The sequence below is a fragment of the Homo sapiens genome, chromosome 3 (genome assembly GCF_000001405.40).
Source record: "Homo sapiens chromosome 3, GRCh38.p14 Primary Assembly".
In the NCBI taxonomy this organism is placed as follows: Eukaryota; Metazoa; Chordata; class Mammalia; order Primates; family Hominidae; genus Homo; species Homo sapiens.
The window spans coordinates 118,763,790-118,785,780 of record NC_000003.12 but is presented as its reverse complement, the minus strand read 5'-3'; the positions used below and the strand labels follow the sequence as shown (position 1 = coordinate 118,785,780).

Here is a 21,991-nt window from a genome sequence, read left to right as displayed (position 1 = left end):
TTTTACATGGCCATTATCTGAAACTTTAGATGCACAAAAAATATGCATTATTGGGAATTGTTTTAATTTTTCATCACATGATTCTTTTATCTAGCAAGTTCTTCCAGTATATTTGAAACATGATTCAGTTTACAGAACATTGATTTACAAATAGCTTTATCAGCAATATGTCTATTGTTTGAAATATACAACAGCAAGATATGGGAGAAGGATGAATGCTAAGTTAATTAAGAAGAGGGAACATAAAGCTTTAATCAATAGACATAACAAATAAAATGTACTTTAGACTAACATTATGGCCAGGTAAGTGGTGGGGAGAGGGACAGATGAAAATGGATGGGCATGTGCAGTAAGGGGTGGGATGAAGAGATACCCAGGGGGAAAGCAAAGATGAAGAAAACGGATGGCAGGGAATGAGAGAGAGTTGGATGTGTGGGCTGTCAGCAGCAAGGGAGGACATTCAGAGACTGGAAATACAAAGCCATCACACCTCAGAGCAAACAGAAGCAATGCAGGTGTGTGGAAGGACCCAGCCATTGCCAGGCAAAGGCCAGTGAAGGCCACAGGTTTAGGAGAGCCATGAAGAGCTGGGGAGCCATGAGAAAGGAGGGCAGACAGGCAGTAGATGGCACCAGGATGACCTTGGTTCCTGGCCAAAATCTGTCTTAACTAGATACTGCACACATGAGGGTATTGATGGAATTGGAAAATTAGTAAGAAACGTCAATAATTGTGCCTTTATGCTTGTATTTCTTTAAAAATTTTTTTTTTTTGAGATGGAGTCTTGCTGTGTTGCCCAAGCTGGCGTGCAGTGGCACGATCTAGGCTCACTGTAACCTTCACTTCCTGGGTTCAAATGATTATCGTAGTGATTCTCCTGCCTCAGCATCCCGAGTAGCTGGGAGTACAGGCACCTACCACCATGCCGGGCTAATTTTTTAATATTTTTAGTAGAGACAGGGTTTCACCATGTTGGCCAGGCTGGTTTCGAACTCCTGACCTGATCTGCCTGCCTTGGCCTCCCAACGTACTAGGATTACAGGTGTGAGCCACCACACCCAGCCTATTTCTTTAAAATTTTTACAAATACTTTAAAAAATTACACTAAGAAGAAAAGCACTGTGCTAATTAATACAGGAAATACTAGACAAGTTTTCAAAGAGTTTATGGAGGTAAGACAAATATATAAATAACCATAATAAGGATCAAATATATTTGTCAAGAACTCTCCATCCTGTTTCATTGTTATTTAATACTTAAGCTATATTTAACATATTATTAAAGTAATCATAATAAACATGTTTAAGCCACACAGAGAGGCTACCCACCTACCCCACACAGGTAACTACCCTTTAAAAAAATTAAGTCTTTACTTTTAGAGCAGTTTAGGTTTACAGAAAAATTGAGCAGAAGGTACAAATAGTTTCCATATACCTCTATAACTGATTTTTAAATTTTTTGATATTTAGTTGTTCTGATGTTCATCATTACAACCTTAAATGGTCACTAATACTTTCTTTTCTTGATTTATTAATGCTAGATTGTATTTATTGACTTCCTGACATGAAGGATGACCTATTTGTTTCACTTATATTTTCTCCCAGCCTCTCTTCTTTTTTTCTTGTTTCAATTTTTGTTACATTCATATTTTTTATTTGAATTTATACTTCTGCAATGAAACTTTTCTTGTTTTGACTATATGCTTATTCAAAAAATTTAAACCTACAAACAGCATTTTCTATGTTATGATTATGTGAAGATTATCCAGTCGTATCAGACTTAGTGCCTGGTCATACAGAAGGAAATATCATCTGGTGTCACTAAACCATTGATGCTAAAAGAGAATATCTCAAGCGTCAAGGTCCACTGAATCATTGTTTAATTTATTTTCAACTTTCTTCATTTCTTTTAGGTCATATTCAGCCACCACAGTCTTATATCTTATATTGTATTTTTATATCTCTTTTTAATTTTGTTGCATTAGCTTCTAGCATCTTTTTTTTTTTTCTACATGAAACATAAGTTTTCCAAATTCTACATGACCAAAAAATGCCTTATTTTGCTCACATTTGACTTAATGATTTGAACATAGGTGGGTTTTAAGGATTAAAAATACTTCCTCACAACTTTAAAAACACTATTTGATTGTGTTCTAGTACCCAGACTTGTTGCTGAGAATGAATGTGACACTTTACTTCACTAAATACATGTATTCTTTAAATTACCTAGAAAAGGGCCTGGCATGAAATAAGTGCTGTATTCGTGGTTGATAAATAAAATCACCAAGACTTTTGTCTGATCTTTCTCTTATAGGTGATTACATATTTTCTGTTTGCAAACTTTTAGGATTTTTTTCTTTATCGTTGGAATTTTGAAATTTGGTCAGAGACATCCATTGTCTCTGTCTTCTATTTTTGGAATGTTTATTAAACAGCTGTTGGACTCCTTGACTCTATCCTCCATATCACCTAACTTTTCCCTCTACATTTTCCATTTTGCTTTGTCTTCTGGATCAACACCTGAGTTGTTTTATAGAAATGAAACTATGTGACTGCTGGGTATATTAATTAGATTTCTTAAAATTTCATTCTGTGTTCTCTGGACCTTGAAATACTTCTTTCTTCTTGAGTCAGCTATTTGGTTTAGTCACTGTGTTAAAGCTTCTTTCTCTAGTTCTTGCTCAAATGTCTAGTGAGTCCTGGTTATTGGTTAATACACATGAATGCATGAAGAGCTAGATTGATTAGTGTATATTGCTGTTATGGTTTCTTATTTCGTTGGGCTGGTGTGTGCCTGCAGGACTTCCTCTCATGGGAGGGAAAGTAAGTGAGTGAGTCACATGAAGGGCACTTTGAGGTGAAGCAGGCATTTGTCTTCAGCTGCCACAGCAGCTCAAGTCAGAAAGGGCTTGCTCCAGGGAAGGATACCTGAAGAAGAGCTCTCTCCTCCTCTTGTACTTCCTCCTCCTCCCTCCTCATTTTCTTGTTCGAGCTTTTCCTCCTCATCCTCCTCCCCCTTTCCTTTATGATTTGAGGTGGAGTATGGAAGTGCATGAACCTTTGCCCTCCTTCTCCCTCTGCCCCAAGCATCCACACATTGATCCTCACTTAGACAATTGTCCATTTTGTTAAGGAGTATTTGTAAAGCTTCCTCCAAGTAGACAAAAGTTCTGCTATTTGTATTCTGTATACCTTGAAGAGGAGTCAACACTTTCCTGTCTCAGTTGATCTAAAAAGAATTATTCAGTGAACTTGTCTGATGGCCTCAGAGCCTATTTCTGCTTTTTGTTGTTTATCGACACCAAGTTGCTTGTCTTGTTTCCAGCTTCTCCTGGGAGAAACACCTCCTACTTCTGGTGTTTTGGATGGTGATGTCCCTTCTATTTCATCTTTCTTCTGTCTTTCAGTATTTCTTCAAACTTTCTGATGCCCGAATTGCTCTCTTTCTTATGTGATATCCTTGTTATGATTTCACCCTTTAACCAATATCCTTTTAGTTATGTCACTGGGAACTTGGGTTGGAAAAGAGGTAGTTGTGTATGCTCATTAGGCCTTCTTGAAATGGGAGCTTCTATTTAAAGGTACTATATGAATAGAAAAATCATGCTAAGTACTGCTTCTCACTTGACTACACTAATGGGAAACAGTGCTTCCTGGACTTTTTTTTTCCCCTTAAGAGGGAATTAGCTGGTGACAAATTTGAATCCTGGCCAAATGCTTGAGGAAGAGGGAAGCTTCATTATTAGTAGCCCTGGAAACCCAGATATCTACAAAAGTGTAGCCAACACAACTGTCACTTGCTGTTCCTGACAGCTTCCATACTTGCTGGAAAGTGCAACCACCATTTCTTCTACCACCTTGACGGCTGCTGCTCTGGGAATATGGAAAAACATGAAGCCTAAACAGTTTTATTCTCTAAAGTGGGAATGGCTCATAAAGATGTGAGGAGGAAGCATTCTTTATGAGGCCTTTTGAAAATGTCCTCCTTCCTTGTGACTTAGAGTAACACATCTCTCCTCCTAAAGTATTCAGCTGGTGGGTGATGGAGAACAGGGATGCTCTTAAGATTCCGGAAATTTTCAACACAGCAAACACTATTTCCAGTTTTTCTCAAAACCTTTTGATTACCAACTTGTGCTTGGAGCCATCCTGAAAAAAATCCAAGTTGGTATATTTTATGGGTTTTATTATAGTGCTATTTATTCTCCATTTCTGATAGATAAAACCAGTGTTAAATATGCAGGCTGCAGCTCTGAAACTCCAAAACAGACTGGGTCTGTGTACTCTGCTTTCAGAGAATCAGAGGGTGGGTGAGGGGTGGGCAGCTGTAAGAGCCAATTCACAGCCTTCCACTGTGCCGCAGGGTGTATGGCTCGTGGATGCTAGCGAAAGCTGGCTTGGGAGTCAGGACACCTGGGGCTTCTGACTCAGCTTACAGGCTGTAGTAATTGGCTTGTGTCTCTGAGCAAGTCATTGAACCCCTCTGGACCTCAGTCTCCTCCTTCATAAAATGTTTAGGGTTTACTACCACCTCCTCAGGCAACTTCATGCTGGGTGATCTCCAAGGTTTATTTTGAATATTCTGTCTCTTTTGATGAGACTGCCTTTAACAACACACCAAGCATTTCTGTAAGCAAAAAGAATACAAGGAAATAGAATGCAGTGTTAGTCTGTTTAGGAAACAATATTCTCCATGCCATAGATTTATTCAGCCTAAGAAGGAGTGGAATGTCCTTCAGTGGTAAATGATTTAAGTGAGGTAGTCTTACTATAATAGTATTTCAACTAAAGAGTGTACTTAAGGGAAACTGTTGTGAGTATGTGGAATGACACATCCATAAAATATATCTCCAGTATTCTGTGTTTTTTTAGTGGCTGGGGCAATGTTCAGATTGAATACCTCAGTTTAAAAGGGACATGGATAAAGAGGAGTACATGTAAAACAATAAATTGAGGAAGATTTAGGGGTGTGCAGGAGGAGTGGTAGGGGAAGGTATAGAGAAACCACAGTGCAAAAGAAAAAAGTAAGAGGTGTGCATAGCAACATGTGTAGCTCCTAAAGACCACATTTGATAAAACATCTGTGATATTACACACTTCCATTTACATGAACTAAAAATACATGCACCAAAACAATAATATATATTATGTAAGACCACACACATACAAACATAATTTTAAGGCAATTTAGTAAAAAGAAAAAGCTAGAGGACATGGGATTATTCAGCTTGATGAACAAAAGATTTGAGAGGGATGTGATATGTATTTGTAAGTAATTAAAGACTGTCCTGTGGAAAAGAGAAGATTCACTCTGGATAGCCCTTGAAGGGAGATATGGCACTGTCTACTCTGTAGTTTGGGGTGTTGGTCAATACCAAGTACCTTTTGTCTGTCAGTGAAACCTTGCCAAATAGGCCAATTGGACATATTTAGGAGGGAGAAAAGGTAACTTGTGTTCGCTTACGTGAAAGTGACCTGCATATTGGACACATTTGATTATACGATGTCTAATGTCCATTACATGGCTAATAGTCTACATACTAAGATATGAGTAGAACAACCTCCAATTAACTCCAGAGTAGATAGGAAAGACAGAGTTATGAAGATATGTGTTGTTCAAGGGGAAAATGCCAGATGGCTAGCCACCAGAACATCCCAAGAGTGATGCTAGCTTGGTGAATTTGCCCCTGCCTAGCACTGGGCTAGAAGTACCTAATAGAACTATCATAATAGCTGTTTTCAAACTTTAATGTGCATGCAGATCACTTGGGGAACCTATTTTTTAAAGCACCATTCCCAGATGATGGCAATGTGGGAGGTTTGGGCTGGGATTAGAAGTTACTGCAGCTTAAACAACCTGGGTGATTTATATATAGGTGGTGGTTCGAGTCGGGCCAGATGTTGTAGGCAGAAGTCAGGTTTTGAAAGAGGGCTTTAATTCCTGACTTCTGGGGACCTTTTAACCCTGAGCTCCTGAGATTCTCTGCCAACAGCTTGTAAGAGACCCCTAGCTGCACTCTTTCTCCATTCTGCCTTGGTGGGTCTTGGGTTTCTCGCTTCCGGTTTCCCTGACTGTTGCAGATAGTTCCTGTCTCTCTTAACATGGACACTTGACAAGAGTTCCAGAATAATGACTAGTGAATGTCGATATTCCTGGAGATAAAAATGTTGATTTAGAAACAGATACAAATATTTAGTACAGAGTTCTTGCTTTTTGGCTGCTAATGATTCTTTGATACATCAGTGATCTTGAGTACTAATTGCATTTTTTCACATTTAAAGCCGGTTGATAAGGTTGGCTTTAGAAATGAAAGTAGTTTTCTGAAATTCTGTATTTTTTATTTGCTTACTAGTCACTTCTTCCTAACCTATATGCACAGGAGTCCAGTGGGCAGCCCTGTGGACAGGTGCATATTTCCCTGTAAAGCAGAGTCTCCATGCCTGGCTGAGCATCAGCATCAGCTGGAAGTTTCTTAAAACAGGCATTCTCAACGGCTTTCAAGTTCTGGTGTCTGAGTCTGACCCCCAGACGTTTCAATTTAATTGCTCTGAGATCTGGCCTTGGCATCAGGATTTTAAAAAAATCCCAGAGGTGGCTGGGCGCGGTGGCTCACGCCTGTAATCCCAGCACTTTGGGAGGCAGAGGCGGGTGGATCATGAGGTCAGGAGATCAAGACCATCCTGGCTAACACGGTGAAGCCCCGTCTCTACTAAAAATACAAAAAAAAAAAAAAAAAAATTAGCCGGGCGTAGTGGCGGCCCCTCTAGTCCCAGCTACTCAGGAGGCTAAGGCAGGAGAATGGCGTGAACCTGGGAGGCGGAGCTTGCAGTGAGCCGAGATCACGCCACTGTGCTCCAGCCTGGGCGACTGAGACTCCTTCTCAAAAAAAAAAAAAAAAAAAAAAAAAAAAAAGAAAAGAAAAAAATCCCAGAGGTAGTGTTACTGTGCATTCAAGTTTGAGAACCACTGTTGTTAAGTATATTTTCAAGCCTCAACCTAGAGATTTTGACTTGCTGTGTCTGGAGTGGGGCCGCAATCTGCATTTAAAACATTCTCTAATTATTTCTGATGTTCACTCTTATTTGGAAACTATCCGTACCAATGCAAACAGCTGAGATTGGGAACCAGGCAGATTTGCTTTTAATTCCTGTTTGGTTGTTCATTAGCTGGCAACTTACAACCTTGGGCAAGTCCATTAACCTCTCTAAGCTGTTTTTACATCTGTAAATGAGGGATAATATGGCATTGACTTCACGGTCCCACAGTTAAGTGTAGTGGTCACTCACCTCTACCCTGAAGTCAGACTGCTGGAGTTTGGATCCCAACTCCTCCATTGGATAATTGTGAATCATTGAGCAGATTATTCTAACCCTGTGCTTCTCAAACTTTCATGTGCACATGAATCATCTCAGGAACTTGTTAAAATGCGGGTTTTGATTTAATACATCTGAGGAGGGGCTGGGGTTTTGCATTTCTAAGGAGCTCCCAGTTCATATTGATGGTACAGACAGGGTGGGGACTGCCAGGCCCAGTGCAAAACGAGGGGCCCCTGGTTCAAAAAGCGAGAAGAAAATATTGTTAAAGGTACTAAAATATAAAGCTTTTTTCTTTCTTCCAGTCTCACTCAGCTTGTTATGCTGTGTTTTGTTATTTAATGTTGTAAAGAAATGCTGGAATTTTAAATTATTAGTATGGTTTATAATTTATCTTTATGTTGTTCAATATCATTTTTAAATGCAAATATAAGAGCATTTAACTCATATATGGATTCACTGAAATTATACAATTCATATATAATTATATAATTCGTATTTTGTAGCTGGTGCATCCATATATAATTCTTTCTTACCAAAATAGTGGTCGCACTACACAAAACAGCTGTTTTCATTTCACTTTTTTAAAAAGTATTTTATTTTTCAATTTTTTTTTAAACTTCTTTAAACTTTTGTTTTAGGTTCGAGGTACATGCACAGGTTTGATATATAGGTAAATTGCATGTCATGGGGATTTGGCATATAGATTATTTCATCAACAAGGTAATCAGCATAGTATCTAATAGGTAGTTTTTTGAACCTCTTCCTCCTCCCACTTTCTACCCTCAAGAATGAATGCCGTGGTGTCTGTTGTTCCTTTCTTTGTGTTCATGTATACTCAATGTTTAGCTCCCACTTCTAAGTGAGAACATGTGGTATTTGGTTTTCTGTTCCTGTGTTAGTTTGCTTAGGATAATGGTCTCCAGCTCCATCCACGTTGCTGCAAAGAACATGATCTCATTCCTTTTATGGATGCATAGTTTTCCATGGTGTTTGTCACATTTTCTTTATCCAGTCTACCATTGATGGGTGTTTGGGTTAATTCCTTGTCTTTGATATTGTGAATAGTGCTGCAATGAACATATGCATGCATATGTCTTTATGGCAGAATGATTTATACTTCCTTGGGTAAATACCCAATAGTGGGATTGCTGGGTTGAATGGTAATTCTGTTTTAGGAACTTAAGCAAATTTACAAGCAAAAAACAAACAACAACAAACAACACCATTAAAAAGTGGGCAAAGAACATGAACAGACACTTTTCAAAAGAAGAAATACATGCAGCCAACAAGCATATGAAAAAATGCTCAGCATCATTAATCATTAGAGAAATGCAAATCAAAACCACAGTAAGGTACCATCTTACACCAATCAGAATGGCTATTACTAAAAAGTCAAAAAATAACAGTTACTGGTGAGGCTTTGGAGAAAAGGGAATGCATATACACTGTTGGTGGGGATGTAAGTTAGTTCAGCTGTTGTGAAAAGCAGTTTGGTGATTTCTCAAAGAACTTTATTTTAGATTCAGGAGTTACATGTACAGGTTTGTTATCTGGGTATATTGTGTAATGTTCAGGTTTAAGCTTCTGTGAACCCATCACCCAAATACTGAATGTAGTACCCAACAGGTAGTTTTTCAGTCCATATCCCTGCCCCCAGTGACTATTATTTCCATCTTTATGTCCATGTGTACCCATTATTTAGCTCCCACTTATAAGTAAGAACATATAATATTAGATTTTCTGTTTCTGATTTAGTTCCCTTAGGATAATGACTTCCAGTTCCATCTATGTTGCTAAAAAGGACATGATTTCATTCTTTTTTATGGTTGCATAATGCACAGTGTGTGTGTGTGTGTGTGTGTGTGTGTATGTGTGTATATATATATATATATATATGCATATATAATATTTTCTTTAGTCAACCATTGATGGACAGTAGGTTGATTCTCTAACTTTACTGTTGTGAATAGTGCTGTGATAAACAAAAGCAGGTGTCTTTCTTATATAATGATTTCTTTTCCTTTGGGTAGATGCCAAGTAGTGGGATTGCTGTGTCCAATGGTAGTTCTATTTTTGTTCTTTGAGAAATCTCCATTGTATTAGTCTGTTCGTAGCTGCTAATAAAGACATACCTGAGGCTGGGTAATTTATAAAGGGAAGAGGTTTAATTGACTCACAGTTCCACATGGCTGGGGAGGCTTCACAATCATGGTGGAAAAGCAAGGGATGTCTTATGTGGCGGCAGGAAAGAGAGAATGAGAATCAAGCGAAAGGGGAAAACCTTTATAAAATCATCAGATCTCCTGAGGCTTATTCATTACCATGAGAACAGTGTGGGGGAAACCGCCACCATGATTCAATTATCTCCCACCGGGTTCCTCCCACAACACATGGGAATTATGGGAGCGACAATTCAAGATGAGATTTGGGTGGGGGACTCAGCCAAGCTATATCATCCCTATTATTTTCCCTAGAGTTGTACTAATTTACATTCCCACCAACAATGTATAAGCATTCCCTTTTCTCTTCATCCTTGCCAACATCTCTTATATTTTTTACTTTTTAATAATAACCATTCTGACTGGTTTGAGATAATATCTCACTGTGGTTTTAATTTGCATTTCTCTGATGATTAGTGATGTTTAGCATTTTTCTCATATATTTGTTGGCCGCATATGTGTCTTCTTTTGAAGTGTCTGTTCATGTCTTTTGCCCACTTTTTAATGGGATTGTTTTTTACTTGTTGATTTGTGTTAGTTTCTTATCGATTCTGGGTATTAGTCTTTTGTCAGATGCATAGTTTGCAAATATATCTCCCACTTTGTAGGTTGTCTGTTTACTCTGTTGATTGTTTCTTTACTGTGCAGAAACTCTTTAGTTTAATTAAGTCCCATTTATCTAGTTTTGTTGCATTTGCTCTTGAGGTGTTAGTCATAAATTCTTTACCTAGGCCAATGTCCAGAAGGTTTTCCTAGGTTTTCTTATAACATTCTTATAGTTTCAGGTCTTATATTTAAGTCTTGAATCCATCTTGGTTAATTTTTCTATATGATGAGAGATAGGGATCCAGTTTCCTTCCTCTGCATATGGCTAGCTAGTTTTCCCAGCACCATTTATTGAATAGGGTGTCCTCTCTTTATTGTTTATTTTTGTCAGCTTTGTTGAAGATCAGTTGGTTATAGGTATGTGGCTTTGCTGCAGGTTTCTCTATTCTGTTCCACTGATACATGTGTATATTTTTGTCTATTTTTATATGACACATGTGTCTATTTTTGTATTAGTACCATGCTGTTTGGTTACTATAGATTTGCAGAATAGTTTGCAGTCAGGTAATGTGATGTCTCCAGCTTTGTTATTTTTGCTTAGGATTGCTTTTGCCATTCAGGCTCTTTTTTGGTTCCATATGAATTTTAGAATTGTTTTTTCCAATTCTGTGAAAAATAAAACTGGTAATGTGCTGAGAATTGCATTGAATCTATAGATTGCTTTGAACAGCATGGTCATTTTCACAATATTGATTCTTCCTATCCATGAGCATAGGATATTTTTCCATGGCTATTGTAAATGGGATTGAGTTCTTAATTTGGTTCTCAGCATGAGCATTGTTAGCATATAGAAATGGAACTAATTTTTATACAATGATTTTGTATCCTTATTCTTTATTGAAGATGCTTTTCAAGTTAGGAGTCTTCTGTGGTAGTCTTTGGGGTTTTCTAGGTGTACAATCATGTCATCAACAAACAGAGATAATTTGACTCGCTCTTTCCCAATTTGGATGCTGGTCCTCTGCGGTTGCCAAAGTCAGAGAAGTTTCTAGGGTATGTTGGTGGGGGTATCTGGTGATGTAGTAACTCAAGGTGTAAGGTTCCCCAGGCAGAGAGCAGTGGCCCACAATAATTACACAACCACTCTGGTGCTTGCCATCTCAGTTCAGGCCTGAGGGGAGTACAGGTGCCCCTGCGTGAGCTGGCCCCTGGTTCTCTGTCCCCGGGAAGTCCTCAAATCACTACTAACAGCATTGCACTGGGTTGTGAGGGCAGAGGTACTCCTTGACAATTTAGCAGTCAGGAGATTGTTCCAGGGGTGAGGGGAGCACAGAAGCACCCCCACCTACCCTTTCCATGTGGCTTCGAGTTCCTCAGGGGTCCATCTTTGCCAGATGCCTGCTGCTTTGCTTTTCTGCATCCCAGCTTCTTCCCGTGGGCACTCTGACAGAGCCTGGCTCTCTTCCTTTAGTTTTCCATTCAGATGATGACCATTCACCTGGAACATTGAACTTCTTTGAGGAGAACTGACATCTGATGTTCCTAGTCAGCCATCATGAAAAAGAAATTATTTCACTTCTTGATACACACATACATAGTCTATAATATTTTCTACCTTCAGGTTATTTATGAGTAGGGAAGAATTCAAAGAAAAGGAGCTGTGAGTTTCTCTTATCTTTTCCTCCTGTGTCATTTTCAGCATGTGTCTGACTAACACAGGGATGAAAGGATTCCTTGGTAGCTTGTGCTTCTTAGAATGCCATTTTCTTCTTTCTGTATTCAAAGCATGTGCCGTTGCAAAAGGAAGGTATGGTTTCTTGGAGCTGCCACCACTCTCGCTTACTAAGTCATGGACTTAACATGCTTACCTTGTACTTGCTTTGAGTCTTACTGAACTCCCACATATCATGAGTCCAATGGAATTCTGTGATTATGGACATTGCAAATGCTATTTGTGAATGGGGTGTCAAGGAATGGTAAATATATATGTTGCCTGCATCGCCTTTGTGTGTGTGTGTGTTTCAGTGCATTTTTACTTACAAAACGCAAGTTGAAAGATAAAATTGTTAAAAAATTCAAGACAACAGAACATTAAACAAAGTGTGGCCATCCTAAGCGAATGACCCCATGTGACTGTAGAAGTTGTACACCCAGGCCAGGCGCAGTGGCTCATGCCTGTAATCCCAGGACTTTGGGAGGCCGAGGCAGGCAGATCACCTGAGGTCAGGAGTTCGAGACCAGCCTGGCCAACATGGTGAAACCCCCTCTCTACTAAAAATACAAAAATTAGCTGGGTGTGGTGGCAGGTGCCTGTAGTCCTAGCTACTTGGGAGGCTGAGGCAGGAGAATTGCTTGAACCTGGGAGGCAGATGTTGCAGTGAGCCGAGATCGTGCCATTGCACTCCAGCCTGGCTGGGGGACAAGAGCGAGACTTCATCTCAAAAAAAAAAAAAAAAAAAAAAAGAAGTTGCACACCCATGAAGCCAACCCATGCCATATTTGAGTAGCAAGGATCTAGTCTCTCCAGGATTGCTATGAACTGAGAGTAGAGAAACGGTACGTACCTTGCAGGCAGATCCCATCATGTAGTAGGACTTAGCAAATGTTGATTCCTTTGTTTTCTTGTTTTCCCACTTCTCCCCTCTGAAGAAATAGTTGCTCCATAGAAAATCCTCCACAGTACTGAAATGAGGCTGCCTCACCATTGGGGATAGTGAAAAGGACAATTTCCTTTGAACACACTCATTTTCTGATTGAAGAGTAAGTAACCCAGGGCTGGGCTGGGCTTTTTCTCCAGCCCTGAGAAGAGATATATGACTCATCATGGCCAAGTGTGGTCAGGGGCCTAGGAACTCCTGTATTAGAGTTCTAGGGAAGAAAAAGAGAACTAGTTTCTCAATCACTGAGTGGGAGGACTGCAGCATTTGCCTGTGTTTGTCCCTTGTCTTCCTGCTGCTTTTGTTCTCTGAGCTAATTCCTGTTTGAAGAGCTGATATTTAATTCAACAGCCCCCCATGGAGCCTTGTGCCTGTGATAGAAGTTTCTAAAAATCTCTCAGTCAACAACATGATAACAGCTGCTCTTTGAAACTCTGGGAGCTCTAGATTGGGGAGGTGCTGGGGGAGGGAGAACTAAGGGAGCCAGGGATTGGGGCTGGGGAATGCACTATTTGTTAAGGATAATGAGGCAAAAATGTGACAGAGGTTTTTATTACAAATAATAGACAGAAGTCTTCAAACAACAGCAGAGAGTCATTAAAAAAAGAAACAGAGTTAAATAATTGTCTAATTAGCAGGCACCAAGAAGGAAAAATTTATTCCATTAGAACTTCTTAAGGGAGAGTCAATAAATTCACAGCTGGGTGTTCGCTTTCTCAGGAATACAGAGAATGTGGATTTTCCTGGTGCCAAGTTGTTCTTCCATTCCTCGGCCAAGTTTCCATTCTGATTAACTCAAGGTGAGCCTTACCTCAGAGAACTGCTAGGTTCAATTGCTTTACTCAATCATGTTATTAAGCTCTGGCCCAACTAGTGGGACTTAAAGTCAGGAACTGCAGGTACTGCTACTATTAACAATTCTATCAGCTGATATGCACATAGTGCTTCCCAGCTTATGAAACATGTTGACATAGATTATTTCATCAAATTCTTACAGCCAGTCAGTAAGCGTGGCTGAGCTTGTATGAATGTTGAGCATGGGTAGCAACCACCTGGTGGGAACCCAAACCATCTGGAGCCATGCAGATCACTGTCTGCATTAATATGACTTATTTCAAGAAATTCTTGCCCAGGAATACGATGTTGCGAATTATTATTTGGCTATAAGACTTCCTGGAACCCATTTATCTGAATGAAAGATGATCCAACTATCCCTTGTTAGAATAAATAACTCACTTTTGGGACAAGAGGTCACTTCAGACTTACCATGCCACTGTTTACTCTTCCAGATTCACTTGGAACCCTTTCCTTGCTATGGCCATTAATCCTAAACTGCTTTATCAGGAACTTGGCCCAATCTGAGTTAGTTTCCTTCCTTGGATACCTGCCTTAAACCAGATCCTCAAACCTCATAAATATCCCTCCTAGAAAATAAGACTCTGTCAAGGGAGTATTCTTTCTTATTTCAGTAGGCAATGAACTTGATGCTGTTTTATCAACAAGTTGATTAAGTGATGATTAGGGTATCAGTAATCAACATTGATTTGAACCCTGGCTAGCTACAACACTTCCTAGCTGTGTGATCTTGGGAAACATTTCTGAGATGGTTAATACTGAGTGTCAACTTGATTGGACTGAAGGATGTAAAGTATTGTTCCTGGGTGTGTCTGTAAGGGTGTTGCCAAAGGAGATCAATGGACTGGGAGAGGCAGACCCACCCTCAATCTGGGTGGGCACCATCTAACCAACTGCTAGCGTGGCTAGAATAAAGCAGGCAGAAGGACGTGGAAGGACTTGACTTCCTGAATCTTCTGGTCCTCATCTTTTCCCCGTGCTGGATGCTTGCTGCCCTCAAACATCGGACTCCAAGTTCTTCAGCTTTGGGACTCTTGGACTTACAAGCTCTCTGGCCTTCGGCAACAGACTGAAGGCTGCACTTTCGGATTCCCTACTTTTGAGATTTTGGGACTCAGACTGGCTTCCTGGTTCCTCAGCTTGCAGACGGCCTATTGTAGGACTTCACAAGGTGATGTCAATTCTCCTAATAAATGCCCCTTCATCATATATACATCTATCCTATTTGTTCTGTCCCTCTAGAGAAACCTAATACAATTTCTTAACCTGTCTGTGCCTCATTTTTTGCGTATTTAAAATGAGTGCCAACCACAGTGGGTTATTATAAGTTTTAAATGAGTTAATACAGGAGAAGCCCTCATGTACTTGGCATATAACAGGATCTCAATAAATATGGGAAACGTTGCTCAAAGGGCAGAAACTTTTCATTATAAATTATGGAGATCTCATGTGCAGCCTGGTGACTGTAGTAAATAATACTGTATAATACTGTATCGTTTACTTGAAATTTGATAAGAGAGTAGATTTTTGTGTCCTTAACACACACACACACACACACACACACATATGTAACTATGCATGGTGATGGATGTGTTAGTTTTACTGCAGTAATCATTATATAGTATATATGTACATCAGATTATCATGTAATAACTGAATATATACACTTTTTCTCAAATATGTTGCAATAAAAAATACACATGTAGCCATATATATAATCTACCTTTATATTTATTGCTTATATATTATTTATATATTATTTAAATCTGTCAAATGGGCTGACCAATGCTCTCATCCATTTTCCTGATATACACTTCCCTAAAGCAAAGCTGCCTAAGGGAAATAAAATACCATATGCTTTTGATTCACAATGACATTACATACTTAATTTCCTCCATTTCTAAAATGGCATCAGCTAGAAAATATCAATTTAAACATAGTTGAGGGCAAAAAAAGGTAACACTACCATACTAAGTGTATACATTAGTTATAACGTGCATACCATTTTCAGAAATTATAAAATGTAGGACAAACTATCTAAGGATTAAGTGAAATTGCAGTTCTCTCCTGAAGCCTTCAGAGAACTCATGGGGAAAATGGAAGTTTCTTTGAGGTGCTTTCAAACCCATCACTATAGCTAAGTGCTTTATGAGTCCCTCCTGGGGGCAGGAGAGGCCAGCTTGGAGAAAAGGGCAGTGAGTGTAAATTCATTCACACATTTGAGTACCTCACAGATTTGGTCTTGGGGCCCTATGTTTGCAGATACTTGGAGTGTGTTTGTTGCAGGCTGGAGCTAATGTTAGCCTAAGGGAGGCCTAGGAGAGGAACCCTCCTCCCACAGAGCTGGCACTCTGCTTGGCTGTGCTGACAGAAAGTATTGATGCAGCCATCATTTGCTGTCTCATAGAGAACATTTGCTTCATGTCTACTCATTGGTCTCTTCCTCCTTAGTCTCACCTCATAGCCTATTCATTACCGCTGAAAGTGATTCAGATTGTCAAGGCCCATCTTCTATACAGCGCTTCCCAAAGTGACGTCGGTAGACCAGTACCAGTAAGAAAACTGTTTCTAGTCTGATAAGGTGAGTAGAGAAATTGAGAGTGTTTAGACATTTTATAGCCATTTAACCTAGCCATGAAATCCTAGTAGATGATCAATGACCTTATCTCACTGAATAGGGTATGGGAAATTTCAGGTATTGTGTTCTGCCCATGGTGAGGTGCATAGAGGGCAAGCTACATACTGCTCATGTGCAGTGGCACTACATTCTAGCCTGCAGTGGGCTGAACATTAAACAATCAAACAGAGCAAACAATTAAAAAGACTGGCCCATCACCACAGATAGACTGAGAATACTGTTCTAAAAGGTAGTCATTTTTATATGGACGTATATATTGTACCTGGCCTTTCAGCAGCTGCCACCGTATCATGGAAAGGCCTTGGAACACTAACCTGGGACCAAGAGTTCCCAGCCCAAATAGCTGAGAATGATTAATGTTTATAGTTCATTTGTATTTGACATTGTTCTATAAACCAAAATGTAATGCTGTATTAAAGCTGTCTAGATGTGGACAAGTATGGATTGCCTACTTCTTTACTACATGAAAATTATGGTTTGAAGCAAGTTTTAAAGAAACTGTGGAATGTAGACATACATCAGCATACTTCTGCGGTGTTCAGTATTAATCAGAACATGATGTTGGCTTGTGGCATCACTGGTCTCACTTCCAGTGTGAAGCCTTTCTGAGCTGTCCTTCCTATAGTTCAGGAATACTTTTGGTGTTAGGAAAATAAGTATTTCCTTCCAGAGGCTCTAGAAGTTTTTCTTTATCAAAGCAAAGTGATAAGATGCTCTCTTAACAGTCATTCATTTCAAAGGGCAATTTCTTAATGACTTGACCCTCTAACTCTCTCATAGTTAGACCATGAGAATGTACCTTAATTAAAACAAAAGTTTACTTGATTTAGATTAAGCAACTATATCAAAGGTCTTCCCCTTCTTTCTCTTCAATAATCCTCTAACATTCCTTAAGTTTCTAACTATAGCTGACAAAATTGTTTTTAATGTAAAATTTATACATTTCTTCCCTATGGAATTATGTGTGTGTGTGTGTGTGTGTGTGTGTGTGTGTGTGTGTATATATATATAGTTTGAATAGACAGACTGTTTTAACATTGTTTTTCAGAGTCACTTGCAGTATCTATCTGTTTCTGAACCCTCTCTGTTGTATGTTAACTTGAAAGTTACAAGTTGAGCATCCCTAATCAGAAGATCTTCAAACCATAATGCTCAACAATCCCAAACATTTTGAGTGACAACGTGATGCTCAGAGGAAATGCTCATTGCAGCGTACTGGATTTCAAATTTTAAGATCAGAGATGCTCAATCGGTATGCATTTCTGCAAATACAGTCATGTGTCACTTAATGAAGGGGCTGCATTCTGGGAAATGTGTCATCAGGTGATTTCATCATTATGTAAAAACCATAGGGTGTACTTATACAAACCTAGATTTTATAGCCTACTACACACCTAGCCAATATTATTCCCTACCCCTAAACCTTCCATTACCTTCTCACTTCCTACAGAAGAAGCTCTAGACTCTTCAGGGACTGGGCTCCCCTAAATGGCTTTTCTAATTTTGTTTTCCACCAAATCCCCCATTGTCCTATGTTCTAGTCCTATAAATAATGAATATGTGTCTTTCTCTTTCACATTCTAGGCCTTCAGTTATATTCACCCGTCAACCTACAATGCCTTTTCCTTTATTCTCACCCTTTTGTGCTCCAGTCCTACATCCTTCTTAAATCCTTCTTGGTTCCTCCCATGTAGAATGAGCTGTACCTCTGTGGGGCCTCCATAGACATTCCTTGTACCTCAGGCTAGTGCTTTTTTAAATTCTGTCATATTTTCTAATTAGTCGTTCTGAGACTGTCCTGATGAAATTATATGCATTTTTGAGAGCAGGGGAAGTGTTGCATTCTTCCCTTCTCCAACACAAGCATGATGTCTTGGTGACATCCGGCTTTCAATGTTGGTAGAATGATTGAATATGGGTGACACAGGAGCAACTAAGGAGATACAGCCCAAGCTGTAACATATTGTTTTTTCCATACTACTCTGTTTGCTACCTGGTTCTTCACTGCAGTGGCAGCCTGCTCAACAGTGGGGACCCTAGTCCTTTCCTGACTATCAAACACCTGTGCTTTTAAAAATCATGATGAATTGCCTGCGTTTTCTCATGTTAGGTTTATAGCAATACTTTTCTTAGAGCTTCTTCTGATGTCTCTTCAATCCCTTCCTCAGTTTTAGTAAACATGTAGTCTTTTATAATATTTGAAAATACTGTATGTTTGTAGAACTTATAGTAGTAAAGTGAATAAATTTCAGCCAAAGAGCAGGAATTCCACGTTGAGGTCAGAGAAAGTATGGAATGTTGTTCATTATCCATATATCACTGCGGCAAGAATCCAAGATATTTTGTAAATGGCCCAAGATCAATAGTGATAAGTGGCCTGAGAGATCATACACCAAGACTTTCTAGAGGCAGTTGCAAAATGTGATGTTGCTAGTTATAATCAGACTTTTTCCAATTTCCTATTATAGGTAGTTACGTTATTAATATGTTTTTCATTCAGTGGCTTTTCTTTTGTGTTTATAATTTAGAATGAACACATTCAAAAGCTTCCTAATAATGTTTTTGAATTATTTTTACAGGTGTGATGTTAAACTGAGAAACTACATTTTCTTTTGTTTGGCTTCAAATGCGTTGATTTCCTTGTGTGAGATGGGTTTGCTTTATCTATCATATTTTACACTTTTATTCTTGTATTTGTTTCACACTGTACGTTTCCTTCATGAAAATTGTTACACACTTATAGGATTCTTGGTTTAATATCTGTCTCCCCTGCTAGACCGTAAGCTCTATGAGGACAGGACAATGTGTGGCCTGTTCATCCCTGTATTAGTAACTAGCCAGTGCCAGGCACACATGTATCAGTGCTCAATAAATATTTGTTGATTAAATAAATGAATCTATTATTTATTCATTATATATTTTCTACTTTCTACCATTGTTCCCCCATGTAATTTTGAACAGAAATGAAGAAAACTGGCCACTTATCTATGTGAATCTTGTGTCCCCCCTGATGTTTTGTTTTGAATCTGCAAAAACAAAGGTACTTTAGTCAGTTTCAGTCTGGGGGCAGAGCCATTTTGAGTCATAAAGAACAGTTTTACAATAGGATGACCCAACACAGTTGAAGGGTTAAATTACAGGGAAGAAAATCACTCAGCTACATGCTAATGTAGCAATGGGTGAGGGATTGATTTAAAAAGTGTTTACATTCAATCCTTTATTTCCTCCTTTGCTATAACTCTCTATCCTCCTTTACTTATTTATTTCATGACTCCCTGGGTTATTATTTCAGCTTTACCCCAGATTAGGGGTAGAGACTAGGATCATAACAGCTATCTTTTTCTTCTCCTAAGTGTAAGAGGTGCTCATTGGAGCTACCTTATGGGTACAGCAGAATAGAGACTAGGAATGCAGGTTGGGTCTCTTTTCTTAGCAATATGGACTCAGGACACCATAAAGTAAATGGAAGGATAAAATGAGAGCAAAATACTTTCAAAACTCCTTATAGTTTATGTGTTCAATAAATATTAAGTTGCTATTATACGCAAGGCATTGTTCTAAATACTTATAGTTTATTGCTTATGATTAACTTTAGTTAACCGCAGATTAAAAATACTTATCAGTGTAGATACTGAATGGGTTTTAGTGTGAATTACTAATCCCTCTTCCTAGTGGACACTGAAGCTAAGAATGGCTACTCATTTTCTCTCCTGCTGTGCATCCTCTTGTTTTTTACCTTCCAGTTCTTCTTCCTTGGCCAGAGCTAAAAAGTGTTGGTCCATGCCAAATTGGGTAGTTATTGGTAGCAAAATTGGTTGTGCTCCCTGGAGAAATCTCTTGCTCCTTATGTTACTACTCAAAGGCCAGTCCCTTGTATACTCAGAGCTCAAGCCCGGTGCAGCTCATATTCCTTCTGTTGTTATGCTGTTGTTACCAGCTGATTGTATACCACTTTCTGTAACACAGTACATTAGAAGTTATGGCTACTTTTTATGCAACTCTTCCTAGAAATAAAAAGATTATCTTTATAATAAAGGAGCTATCTTGAAGATAGTGTTTTTTAATTTTTAAACTTAAATTTCTTTTTATAGTTTTAAGGCAAAAAACAAAAGAGCTCTTTCTGTGGAGAGCTGCATGAAAAACTATTTCTCCATTTCTCTAAAGCCCTTTCATACTGAACATTTCTAATCTTTCAGTGCAAGTGCATTCTTTCTGAGAGATGGCTCATCTCTTGGACTATTTGTCTGGGAGATTTGTGAGAGATTTCTGCTGCTGACTGAGGCAAAAATTTGCTTTTGAGCTTTTTCCCACTCCCCATGTAAATACCAATTTTCTGTCACTTTGTGAATTATGTTTCCTCTCTCTCTCTCTCTCTCTCTCTCTCTCTCTACCATAGTGATATACATGCCACATAGATAAGTTCTTCAAACCTTTACATTCCAGGTCAAAAATTATCCTTGGCCCATATGGTTGTTTCCCTTCTTTCCTGTGTTTGAAAATAAAGCATAATGTAAAGGGGATCATTTGGGAAGTAGACCCAGTGTCTGGTGTCATTATAGACAAAATATCAACCTAGGTCTTCATCTATTTCATTAGGGAGTGTGACATTAATTTTGTGTGTCAATCTGACCAGGCTGTGGAGTGCTGAGATGTTTGGTTAAACATTACTCTGGATGTGCCTGTGAGGGTGTTTCTGGATGAGATTAACATTTGAGTCACTAGACTGAGTAAAGCACATTTCCCCCACCCCATGTAGGTAGGCCTCACCCAATCGTTGAAGGCCAGAATATAACAAAAGTCTGAATGAGGAAGAATTTGCTCTCTCTGCCCATCTTTGAGTTGGGACATGGGTTTTGTCTTGCCTTTAGATTCTGACTTGGCCTGGGATGTCTACCATAAGCTCCCCTGGTTCTCAGGCTTTCGGGCTCAGGTTGGAAGTGTACCATTGGTTCTCCTGGGTCTTCAGCTTGCCAGCTGCAGAGCTGGGGACTTCCTAGCCTCCATAATTGCGTGAGTCAATTCCTTATAGTAAATTTCTCTCTCTCTATCAATCAATGTAACATATATCTATAATTCGTATCTACATTCTTTTGGTTCTGCTTCTGGAGAACCCCCATACAGGAAGCATATTTTAGAAAGTCACAGAAAGCATTATTGGTTCATTTTGATGAACTCATTTTGATGAATCAATTCAGTTCATCGGCTATTTATTAAGCATCTGCTAGATTCAAAGCAATGAAATGTGCTAAGTGCTGCAAGGACCATAACGATAAAGGAGTGTCCAGCTTTACAGCAAGTTTTTAAACTTGCTCTTAAATTATCATAAGGCAGGGGGTTTTAATAGCCTTGAAAGGGATGCTACCCAAATGTTTGGAAGTTTTGGTGGAAGGGAAAGAGACTTTGGTTATGTAGTGTGGGGAAAGCTTTATAAATTAGGAGGCAGCACAAGTAAAGCTCAGTTCTCTAATGTCACTCAATTTCCCAACTATTGTCCTCCTTCTCTTATTTATATGCAAACAACCCTGAACTCCCCTGGTTGGTATTGCAGGACATGTTAAAATCATGAAGATACTATTCTTAATAAAGATTTAATACTCATTCAATCAAATAACATAGCATCAAAAGAAATAGAGCAAAAACTATCAATGCGAAGTAGACTGAAACATATTAGTACAAGTAGACTTTAAATAGCTTTCCCCTCAGTGCATCAACAAATTAAGTGGACAAATGAGTAAGTAAAAATGCAGAAGAGCTAGAAAA

The 21,991-nt window shown here is 38.9% G+C and overlaps 3 long non-coding RNA genes across 3 annotated transcripts in view; all 3 read left to right on the top strand.

Moving 5' to 3' along the window:
• Positions 1-21,991, top strand: part of LOC105374060 (uncharacterized) — a 302,423-nt gene that overhangs the window by 25,053 nt on the left and 255,379 nt on the right. The window lies entirely within an intron of this gene.
• Positions 12,704-14,862, top strand: LOC105374059 (uncharacterized). Its single transcript, XR_924380.3, has 3 exons — positions 12,704-12,841; positions 13,459-13,538; positions 14,028-14,862. It is a non-coding gene; the product is annotated as an uncharacterized LOC105374059 (long non-coding RNA).
• Positions 17,280-19,119, top strand: LOC124909417 (uncharacterized). Its single transcript, XR_007096026.1, has 2 exons — positions 17,280-17,483; positions 18,811-19,119. It is a non-coding gene; the product is annotated as an uncharacterized LOC124909417 (long non-coding RNA).